This window comes from Homo sapiens, chromosome 7, assembly GCF_000001405.40.
Source record: "Homo sapiens chromosome 7, GRCh38.p14 Primary Assembly".
NCBI lineage: Eukaryota > Metazoa > Chordata > Mammalia > Primates > Hominidae > Homo > Homo sapiens.
The window spans coordinates 46,997,807-47,010,175 of NC_000007.14; the positions used below are offsets into that span (position 1 = coordinate 46,997,807).

General features: G+C 34.9%; 1 long non-coding RNA gene across 1 annotated transcript in view; it reads right to left on the reverse strand.

Moving 5' to 3' along the window:
- Nucleotides 1-2,813: 2,813 nt before the first annotated feature.
- The window catches only part of LOC105375268 (uncharacterized), a 79,190-nt gene continuing 69,634 nt past the window's right edge, over nt 2,814-12,369 (reverse strand). The window contains exons 3-4 of the long non-coding RNA XR_927249.1: nt 3,496-3,555; nt 2,814-2,965 (exon numbers count right to left, since the gene is read on the reverse strand). This is a non-coding gene — a long non-coding RNA (uncharacterized LOC105375268). The remainder of the gene's footprint in view (nt 2,966-3,495; nt 3,556-12,369) is intronic.

A 12,369-nucleotide genomic window follows, 5' to 3' on the forward strand; every position in this document is an offset into this window, starting at 1 on the left:
CTGTTTTGACTTTATGGCCCCATTTAATTTTCAGAACATTTTCTAAATTTCAAAATATGCTAACCATTGAAGGATTTTAACATTGAGCAATGAGAAAACAAAGCTAGAATTATATATTCTCACTCTTATACATGTTTTATTACTGTGAGATAACCACATCTCTCTTCTAATTATATAGTATACAACCTGAGTTAAAAAAGAATTTTGACTGATAACGTGTATTTGGGGTTTAATAATTAAAATTCAGTTTCTTACTATAGTTTAGAATACCATTGCAATTCTATTTTTATTGCCTGTATTATTCTTTATCCTGCCTCATTTGAGAAATGACATTGGGCTACTTATGTTTCCATTTGCTAAGCTACCAGGCTGCCGTTGAATTAGTTCTCTTTGGCATTATTAGTGCTATGCACTGAATTGTGCACTCTGCCAAATTCATACACTGAAGCCCTAACTCTCTAACTGATTGCATTTGGTGACAGGGCCTATCGAGAAGTAATTAAGGTTAAATGAGGTCATAAAGGCAGAGCCTGGATATGATAGGATTTGTGTTCTTATAAAAGGCACCACACTTCTTCCTGAAAACCAAGAAAAGAGTTCTCGCCAGAAACCAAACTCTTCAAGAGCCTTGATCTTGAATTTTACAGCCTCCAGAACTGTAAGAAATAAATTTCTGTTGTTAAAGCTACCTATTCTGTGGGATTTTGTTATAGTAGCCCAAGCAGGCTACATGTGAAAATAAGATAATTATGTTCTAATTCCACCACCACTTACCCCCATATTTATAAGATATTTTATATTCACCGAATCTTTTTACTTTGTAAATCTTGTGCTGTTTCACCCATTCAACAAATGTATTAACAAATATTTATTGTGCGCTTATTATGTGCCAGGCACTTTTCTGGTGCTAGAGGTATAGAAGTGAGCAAAACTTATGTGGCATTTATGTTGTAACACACATAGAAAACAAATGAGGAAACAAAGGCAACGATTTAATTAAGGTCACACATCACTACCTACAGAACCAGAATTCAAACCTGGGATTTTGATTTCTAGTCCAGTGTTCTTTCAGTTTCAATCAGTCTTTCTTTCATGCTTAGGGAAGATTTTCCACAAATGATTGCTCAAACTTCACCCTCCAATAAACACAACAACCAAAAATTCCTTCACTAGGGCTACATTTGCTCAACTTCTTTTTACTTTATCTTATATTCTGTCAGAGTCCAATATAAAAATCACTTAATAATTTTTTAGAAATTTTGTTTAGAAATTAGAAGAGTATGTTTTTGTCTCCTTTCATCATTTGGCATACTTTCTTATTTCAGATACTTACAAACATATATGTTGGTAGTCAGGCCTTTTTTTGATTTTCATAAAGCTTGAAACCAAGTTTTAGAATCACTTATGGCAAATACTGTCACCCTATATAGTGTGTATAATTTCATTGTTCCTATTTTGACCTGATTTTCTTCTTGTGCTTTAATTTCCTCTGGTCCAGGGTATTTATTTCCATGTGTTGAGGCACCTTTATTTAGAATCTTGTAACTGGTACTGTCACCCCTGCTTGGAATAGTGGTGATAAAAGTCCAATCTTCTCCATTATAATAGAATGTTATAGTTCTCATGTTTACAGAGTTGACACACTTACAAATGAAATTTTTATATTGTCTAATCTATCAATGCTGGTAGAGGAACTAACAGTGCCATTGCAGTCAAGATGATGAATAAAGACAACATTCGTGTTTGCAGACAGAGAGTAGACCAAATAAAAAAGAAATGCTAAAAGCTTTCAAGGAGGAGCATGGAGGAGATGATCTCTCAGGGTAATCATCCAGCCTCATATGACTGAGTTTTCATATGTCTTTTAGAAACATTGCTCCAAACCAAGCCATTTGGTGTGGATTTGTAGGTATCTGGAGGCAGAGAGTGGGGTGAACTATTGAAGAGATTGCAAAATTTTGCACTAGGGGAAGGGGCTTTCTTTCTTGTCCAGATCTCTACTTTGGAGTTGAAGTGGAGACAGCTACGCCCTAGTTCCACACACTCTAGCCAAACCTCACAGCCACAGTGAAATTTCCCAAGTTTCTACAAGTCAGTGCCATCTTGATTTTATTAAAGTTGCCTCAGGACCAATAGTGCCATGGCAACAAATAAGAACATCTCAGCAAGATCACAGGGTTGTCTTGATTACATGTTGAGTTGTTGAGTAAACCTATACTGGGCTGCTATGGCAGGGTAACAGGTGCTCACCAAGAAGACACCTGGAGGGCCAGCCATCTGTTCTTTGGAATTGGCCCTTTCCCTTTTACAGTCCTTTCATTTGCTTTTCCCAGGCACTCTCTCCCCACCAGAAGGATGTTGAATCAGTTAAGAGCAGTCCCTAAGAGTTAGTAGGCATCTTTAAAAGAGGAAGGATAATATTTATCCCCTTGAATTATAGTAAGGATAAAGATGGAAAGCAAATGAGGTTGTTTTTTGGCAAACAGTAAGTGTCTGATAAGTGGCTATGGCTTATGAATCCAATTGCCCTTTCCATTTGCAAACCAAAATTCCCTTTCAGACTAGAGCTAGAAAAGTGAGTTCTGGGCTCAAGCATCCATCTGAACTGGAACTGAGGAAAGGCTGGAGAATAGCAGCAGTTGAGAATAGCACAGATTTCCCCAGTGCACATACTGTTTTCCTTTGGACCAATAATTATCTCTTGATTTATAAGCCTCAGGGCAAACACAGGCACAGATACAGACACAAGTATATCCAATCTGTGACTAAGGCACTAATGAGCTCCCAAATAAAAATGCATTTATTATATTCAATTTTTATGAATAAAAATTGTGGTCTTTTATTATTTTAGTTACTGTACAGAGGAAATACTCTAACTCTTGAAACTTCTCTACAACTCACTAGGGCTCTGAGATATGGGCGTGGCAGCTGCTTGCAGAAGACTTCTATGTTTTGCAACAGAAGCCTGCAGGGGAACAGAAATTAGAAAAATTATTAAGAGCCTTTATGTGGTTTTAGGCCTGACATTTTGTACTTGGCTTTTCTCATTGAGTTTACATATTGCAACCCATTATAAACATTGGGGAGGATGGTCAATATAATTAATGTTGTGAAACAGTTTCCACTATAAGCTTTAATTTGAAGACACTTGAATTTTATGAATAATTTTCCTTTGGTTGAAATTTTCCATTGTCAGTTTTTACTCAAAGGCGATTTCTTTGTTTGTTTGTTTTTGTTTGTTTGTTTTGGAAAAATTTGACATTTAACTGTTTACAGATCAGGACATGAAAATATTCATTCTCTAATTGATTTTGTTGGATACTTTTATAAATATGTTCCAAAGGATTTAAACTGCCTGAATTTAAAATTACAAACTTAGAAAGTAAAGCAAGCTTTAGTGAGAAATCTTAGAAACTAAACATTATTAATGAATGATTAAGATCTTAGAGAAACAAATATATAGAAAGCATTTAGAAAAAAATAATTTCAACTCACATTCTCTCTTTTGCATCTATGAAATTTAACGAACATGTTGTCTTGGGTTATGTCAAACTTCTGTAAGTGAAAGACAAGTTAATTCTATGCTATTGCAATTTCCCTACCTGCTTATATTCAGATGGAAAATAGACCTGATCTTCTGAAATATTAGTTCTTGATTTTCAAAAACAAAATAACAACAACAAAAAAAAAATTCTTTCATCCCTCCTTTTATCAATGTAACTTGTAGAGAAATTGGTGACATGAACATTTTTTAAAGGAAACTATAGAAGACTTCCGGTTTCAGTTCCTATAAAATGCTTGAATTTAATCACCCTAATCCTTACAATTAAAAAAATCAGAACAAATTAAACATCAATAACTTTTCTTGTTACCATCAACAAAATGAGCTGTAGAGCAAACTGCCCCCCCAAAATCCAAAGAAACAGGGGAATCCAGAGAATCATGGCTGAGGCCTGTTGGCCAAGATCTGAAATCTCTGAAGCCACTGAAAGCGCTGGAGCCAAAACTGGTAGGAATATCTCAATAACAATTTTGACAAATTGCTGGAGGCTTTGTGGACTACTGGAGAGTGATTAAAGTCCTGGATGTTGCAGCGTGACGGCTCCTTCAAGCTTTCTTGAGTTTTACCTCCAAGCATCTCATGAGGTTCCCATAGTAAAGATTAAAAAGAAAAAAAGACTCCTCATGTCTCTGACAGGAGAAAGTGATCTGTAAAATTATTGTGAAATAACCCCAGAGCATTCTCCATAACAATAGACTGCTCCCCAAGGTGAAAAACTTTGCTAAAGCATCATCCCAGGTGGAGCAGGGGCATTGCTCCCACTCTAGCCCCCTCCAGCCTTGCTGTCTCAGCTAGGAAGACAAAAAAGACTGTGAAGGTCACAGCCCAGGGACACGGACACAGTAAAAGGCTGAGACTCAGTCATAGGATTATAGATTCCAATGCTTGCCCATCTCTACTCCTCACCACTGCACCAACAGGGTTCCTGTGTAATAACAGTGGACTACAGCTTGAAGAGCTACAGACTCCCCCTAAGAAAAGCATCCAGGAGAGCCCAGAGTCAGGAGGGGAGAAAAAGATAAGGACAGAGGAGCAATTTAAAGCCTCTAGCGTCTGCAGTTAAAAGGTAAATACACTGGGGTGGATTTAACTGTTACAGCCTTCTTCTTGGGAGGCCAAAGAGATTAACACAAATCCTTACACTAATAGCCTGTGTTCTTTAGTGACTATTACTCAATACAACATGTCTAGTGTTCAGTGAAAAAGGTACAAGACATGCCAAAAATTAATGAAAAAAATTAAGAACACAAATGAACATCCAAGAATTATAGGATAATATCCAAATATGTGAGATAGACATACCAGGAATATCTGGAATACCAGGAGGAAAAAGTAGAGAACAGAGCAGGAAAAATATTAAATTATAATGCCAAGAATTTTCATTAAATTTTTCTTTGAGACAGGGTCTCACTCTGTCACCCAGGCTGCAGTGCTATGGAACCATCATAGCTCACTGCACCCTTGAACTCCTAGGCTCAGGCAATCCTTCCATCTCAGCCTCCCTAGCAGGTCCAACTAAACGTGGGCACCACCATGTCTCTCTAATTGTTTTTTTTTTAGATGGGGTCTCACAATGTTGCCCAGGCTGGTCTCAAATTTCTGGCCTTAAGTGATTCTTCTGTCTTGGCCTCCAAAAGTTCTAGGATTACAGGCATGAGCCACCATGCCCAGCCAAGAGTTTTCCAAAGTTACAATAGACATCAAACCACAGGTCGAGCTAACTCAGAAAGCATCAAACAGATTAAATACTGAAAACCTTCATTTAGAAGTATCATAATCAAACTACATAAAATCAAAGGCAAAGAAAATAAATCTCAAAAGAAGCCAGAAAAAATAAATACCCTATCTATAGAGGAATAAAGAAAAGAATTACAGTAGGTTTTCTGTCAAAATCCATGCAAGAAAGAGGAATGCAGTCAAACATTTAAAATGTTGAAATAAAAAAATTCAGCCTGGAATTTTATACCTATCTGTACTAGAATGGAATAATAACTCCCCACTAAACATAGTGACCCACCAGCTCTACATGAGGGCCCCCATGTTACTATACCTTTACAATCCTCCTAACACTTTTATTATGCCTGGAAAGTTGATTTAAAAAATTGTGTTTGTTTTTATTTAGTTAGTTATGGATAAGGCTGAGTATCTTTTCACATGTATGTAAGCTGTCTATGTGCCTTTTTCCATTAAGTTATTTGTGAGTTTGTGTATCTATTTTGCTTTAAAATTCTCTCCCATGCTAAGATTATTTATGTAAGTATATGTATAAGCATATTTAAAATGTTTTATTATAGTAATTTAGTTTTTTAAATATTTATATTATGAAGTCTTTTAGCATACAAAAATGTTTAGACCTTCACTGTCTAATACAGTAACCTCAAGCCATGTATGACTACTGAGCACTTGAAATACAGGTAGTATAAATTAACATGGGTTGTGAGTGTAAAATAAACAACAGATGTCAAAGAACTAATATCAATAAAAGAAATATAATATACTATATAATTTATAATTCTATATTGATTACATGGTAAAATGATAATATTTAAATATATTGAGTCAAACTATATTACTAAAATTAATTTTACTTTTAAATATTTAATTGACAAGTAAAAATTGTATATATTCAAGCTGTACAATGTGATGATTTGATATGCATATATATTGTGCACTGATTACCACTGTCAAATTAACTAATATAGACATAATCACCCATATTTACCATTACTTTTAGCTTTTTAAACATGGGAATTAAAACATTTAAAATTACATATAGTCCACATTACATTTCTATTGGATAACTCTACGCTTACCATTTAATTTACAAATTTTAATTTTCTGTGAAATTTATTTCATATCTTTATAGAATGCTCAAAAAACATCAAGCAGGATAAATGTCAGAATGTCTACACCTAAACATATCATATTCAAATCATGAAAAATCAAAGATAAAGAAATCCTCAAAGAAGCCAGAGGGGAAAAAAATTTACCTATATAGGAACAGGGGCAAAAATTATATCAGACTTTGTCTCAAAAATTATACAAGCAAGAAGAGAATGCAATAAAATATTTAAGATGTTGAGAGAAAAAAACCACCAACCTAAAATCCCATATCCAGTAAAATTATCTTTCAAACATGAAAAAGAAATAAAGACTTTCAGACAACAAAAACTTAAGGGAATTTATTGCCGATAGAGTCTTCCTGAGGGATATGTTAAAGGAAATTATTTGAGAAAAGGATAGATAGAGAAAAGGATAGAAAATCAGATCTATATAAAGAAAGGAAGAGTATTAAGGAAGGAATAAGCAAAAGTAAAATTTTGAAAATTTGCTTTTTTAAATTCTTAATCTGACAGATAATAGTTTGTTAAAAATAATAGTAGTAACAATGCATTCACTGATTATAGTTTAAGAATAAGTAAAATTAATGCCAGCAATGATACAAAGGACAAGCAAGAGATATTAGAAAAGCTTTATTATAGGAACTTTTACTACCTAGAAAGTAGTATAGTGTTATGTGAAGATGGAGTTGGATTAGTTGTAAATATGTATTGCAAACACTAGGGTAACCACTAAAAGAATGGGGGGAGGGGAGAGGTATAATTGATGTGCGAAGAAAGGAAAGAAAATAAAGTCATATAAAATGCCCAATTTAAACCACAGAAAGCAGAAACAAAGACAAAGAGAGTCAATAGAAAAGAGTAACAAATAGGGTAGATATTAATTCAACTACATCAATAATCACCGTAAATCCTACTGGTCTAAATATACAATCAAAAGACAGAGACTGTCAGAGTGAAACAACAGCCAACTATATGTCATCTAAAAGAAATCAACTTCAAATATAAAAATACAGATAGATTGAAAATAAGGGGATGGAGGAAGATACATCATGCTAACACTAATCAAATGAAAGGTGGAGTTGTTATATTGATGTCAGACAGAGCCGACTTCAGAGCAAGGAAAATTGGCAAAGATAAAGAAGGGCATCACATAACGATAAATTAGTCAAGTCTCCAAGAAGACATAGCAATCCTTAATGTGTATGTACCTTGCAACAGAGTGTCAATACATGTGAGCCACAAAGTGAAATAACTTCAATGGGAAACAGATAAATTTACTATTACACTGGAGAATTCAACACCCCTCCATCCGTTAGACCAGCAGGCAGAAAATCAGTAAGGCCACAGTTGAACTCAATAGCATCATTAATTAATTCACTTTAATTAACATGTATAAAATTATGCACATTGTCTTCAAGCCTACATGAAATACTAACCAAGATAAACTGTATTCTGAAAAAAAAAAAAACCACTTAACAAATTTAAAAGAATAGCAATCATGCAATGTTTGCTCTCAGGCCATTAAGGCCACAGAGGAATTAAACTGGAAATCAACAATAGGAAGATAGTGGAAAATCCCAACCTGGAAGTTAAACAGCACATTTCTAGGAAACACATGGGAAATCTTAAGAGAAATTTAAAAATTTTTGAAATAAATAAAAATTCAACTTTTCAAAATTTGTGGAAGGCATTGAAAGCAGAGGAAAATTTATAGCACTGAATGCATATATTAAAGAAGAAAATCTGAACTCAATAACCTAAGTTTCCACTTAGGAAACTAGAAAAAGAAGAGCAAATTAAATTTGAAGTAAGCAGAAGAAAACAAGTAATAAAAATTGGAACTGAAATCAATAAAACTGAAAATAGGATACCAGTTAAAAAAATCAGTGAAACCAAAAGATGACTCTTTTAAAAATTCAATAAAATTAGTAACACTCTAGCCAGAGTAACTAAGAAAAATAGAGATATAACAAATTACTAATATCAGAAATGAAAGAGGTCATCACCACATATTCTGTGGATATTAAAACGATAACAATGAGCTACTCAGGATGCTGAGGCAGGAGAATCGCTTGAACCCAAGGAAGCGGAGGTTGTGGTGAGCCGAGATCACGCCACTGCACTCCAGCCTGGGCAACAGAGCAAGACTCTGTCTCAAAAAAAAATAAATAAATAAATAAATATATATATATATATATGTAGAACAATCTTATGCTCACAAATTCAAAAACCTAGATGAAATTGAACAATTTTTGAAAGACACAATCTGCCAAAACTCACACAAGAAGAAATAGACAATCTGAATAGTCATATATATTTTATATATATACATATATATATATACATACATTTAATCAAATCAATTTCAGCAAAGAATAATGGGATTTTGAGAAAAAAACAAAATATCATTTATAATAGCACCCCCAAAATAAAATAGTTATAAATTTAACAAAGTATTTATAAGATTTAGCTGAGGAAAACTATTAAACTCTGGTGAAAGAAATCAAAGAACTAAATAAATGGAGATATGATCAATTTCTGGAAAGACTCAGCATTAGTAAGATGTCAGCTCTTCCCAACTCGACCTATAGATTCAATGCCATCCCAATGAAACTCCCAGAAATTTATTTTGAGGATATAGGCAAACTTGTTCTAAAGTTTATTTGAAGAGACAAAAGACCAAGAACAGCCAATACAATACTGAAGCTACAGTAATCAAGACAGTGTGGCATAAGATAAATAGATTAAAGGAACAGACTAGAAACCAGAGATAGAACCACAAACATGAAGTCAACTGATCTTTGATGAAGGAGAAAAGACAATACAGTGGAGAAAGAATTATTTTTACAACAAATGATGCTAGAACAACTAGACACCCACATATAGAAAAGTGAACCTAGACACTGAACTTACATCCTTAATTCAAAATGAGTCATAGGCCTAAATGCAAAATGCAAAATTATGAAACTTACAGAAGATAACATAGAAAAAAGTTAGATGACCTTAAGCTTGATCATGATTTTTAACTCTACACCAAAAACATGATCCATGAAATAAATAATTTATAAACTGGAGTTCACTAAAATTACAAAATTTTTTCTCTAAAAGACAGTATCAAGAGAATAAAAAGATAAGCCACAGACTGGGAGAATATATTTGCAAATACATACCTTGTATCTCATAAATAACCCACATAATGCAAAATATGTTTTTAAAAAAACTTAAAATTCAACAAGGAGCAAAAAATGGAATCGATTTGAAGACATCTCATCAAAGAAGATATATAGACGACAAACAAGAATGTGAAAACATACTCAACATCATATGTCATTTGAGAATTGCAAATTAAAACAATGACAGGCGTGCATGTGGTTAAAATAAAAAACCCTAACACCATCAAAAGCTGTAGAGAATGGGAAACGAGCAAATGCTCGTGGGAATGCAAAATGGTGCAGCTGTTAAGCTATTTCTTACAAAACTAAACATATGTTATCATATGGTCCAGAAATTGCATCCGTTGCTATTTACTGAAATGAATTGAAAATGTATGTCCACATAATAACTTATACATAGATATCTGTTACAGCTTTATTCATAATTGCCAGAATTTGGAAGCAACTTAGATGTCTTTCCATAGCAGAGTAGGTAAATGATCTGGCACATCTAAATAATGGGATGTTACTTAGGGCTAAAAAGAAATGAGCCATCAAGCCATGGGAAGACGTAGAGAAAAATTAAATGTGTATGAGAGGGAAGCCAATCTGAAAACAGTAATATACTGTATGATTTTAGTTATATGCATTCCAGAAAAGGAAAAACTATGGACACAGTAAAAAGATCAGGTTGCCAGGGGTTTGGATATAGGGAACAAAAAATAGGTTGAGCACAGGGGATTTTTAGGCCAGTGAAACTACTCTGTATGATACTGCAATGATGGATACTAGACATTATGCATTTGTCACAACCCATAGGACTGTACTGCACTAAGTGTGAACCCTAATGTAAACTATATAGTTAATAATAATAATGTGTCAATGTTGATTCATCAAATGTAACAAATGCTCCCTACTAATTCAAGACGAAAACTGTCAGGTGGGAGAGGTTGATGCATGAGAATTCTTTGTACTTTTGCACCATTTTGCTGTGAACCTAAAACTGCTCTAAAAAAATCATATTTTTTAAAAAATAAAATAGTTCATTACAAATTATGATAGATTAGATTATTTTTCAAAAATATTTGTCTTTCCTGCATGGGTAGAGAATAATTTGCCCTCACTTACCTGACTTTGGACTTGGACGAATGACTTGCTTTGGCCAATGGAATGTTAGCAGGCACTGCTTTTTAAGGCTTAAAAAGCACTCATATGATTGGGCTTTTACTCTTACACTTCTGTCATTGTCATGAGAAAAATATGCCCTGACTATTCTCAGCAGGGGATGAGCATGAAACAGAGTTGCCCTGGCCAAGTCAGTCCAGCTGAGCCTAACCACTCACATCTGACCTGCAGATGTATGAATAAGCCCAAGATCCACAGAACCACCTAGGTGAACCCAGTCTAGACCAACTGGCACTCAGCTGACCCACAGATTTGTGAACTAAATAAGTTTATATTGTTGTATGCCACTGCAATATTCTCATTTTTCATTATGTAGCAATATTTAATAAAGACAAATAGGTACATGGAAGTGGGATGATACCATAATAAAACCTCGAAGATGTAAGTTTGGTTTGAGAACCAGAAAATGGGTAGTGAGAAAACTATTATAGGAGGCTGAAAATGGTGTTACGTAGCCATGAAATATTTAGTAAAGCTATTGCCTGAAGTAAATTGGAAGAAATATTTATTTGCATTTACACCAAATTTTAGAAATACTGTGTCAATTTCTGCACATGCACACACACAACAAAACTTGTCTAGAGTTCGACCAATATTGCATTAAACTATGATAATTTTAAAAGAATTGAGTTCTGTACAATAATGTGTCTCCCATTTCACGAACATAGTACGTTCTTTCATTTATTTTGGTCTTTTAAAAATATTTTTTTTCTCAAGGCCAGGCACACTGGCTCACACCTATAATGGCAGCACCTTGGGAGGCTGAGATGGGTGGATCAGATTGGCCCAGGAATTTGAGAACAGCTGGGCAACATGGCAAACCCTGCCTCTACATAAAATGCAAAAAATTAGTCGGGCATAGTGGCACATGCCTGTAGGCCCCACTGTGGCAGGCCAGGTCTCACTAATGCAGGCTTCCATAACAACTGTTTCAGTACTGACTGGGTGGTTAAGTTAAATATTAAAAGCCAGCCCCCTTATACAAAGGCTGGGATGTAACAAAAGCCCACCGAGAGTTTTGCCAAGGCCTTTCCTGGGCCTTAAAGCATGACAAAATAATGAAGGAATTCTTAGCAGGACCCATTTAGAATTAAACAAGCTTATTGTGGGTCTGAAGAAACTCCCCAGGCCTCCACAAACAAGTTTATTGAGGGTCTGAAGGAAATCCCCAAACCTCTGTGATTTAGCAGGAGACAAGATAAGGGTAATCACCCCAGCACCTGGATCCATTTAGATTAAGTAAATTTACTGAGGCACCAGAGGAAGATCTTCAGGACTCAGACCTTAGTTACAGATTAAAAGAAGTTAATCACTTATGCCTTTAGATGAATGCACACTTATATGTAGACATATAGCTTAGAAGGTATGTAAGTTCTGGAAAACTTTGTAATTTTGAGTTGGTCTGGTGATAATTTCCAGGCCTTCTCCCTGTAACCAGTTGCAGAAATAAAAACTATCTTCCTCCCCAGTTCATCTGCATCTTATTTTGGGGCCACGAGAAATAGCAGCCTGACCCTCAGTTTGGTCCGGGACACCACTACTTGGGAGGCTGAGGTGGAGGTTTGCTCGAGCCCGGCAGGTTAAGGCCGCAGTGAGTCATGATTGCGCCACTGCAATCTAGCCTGGG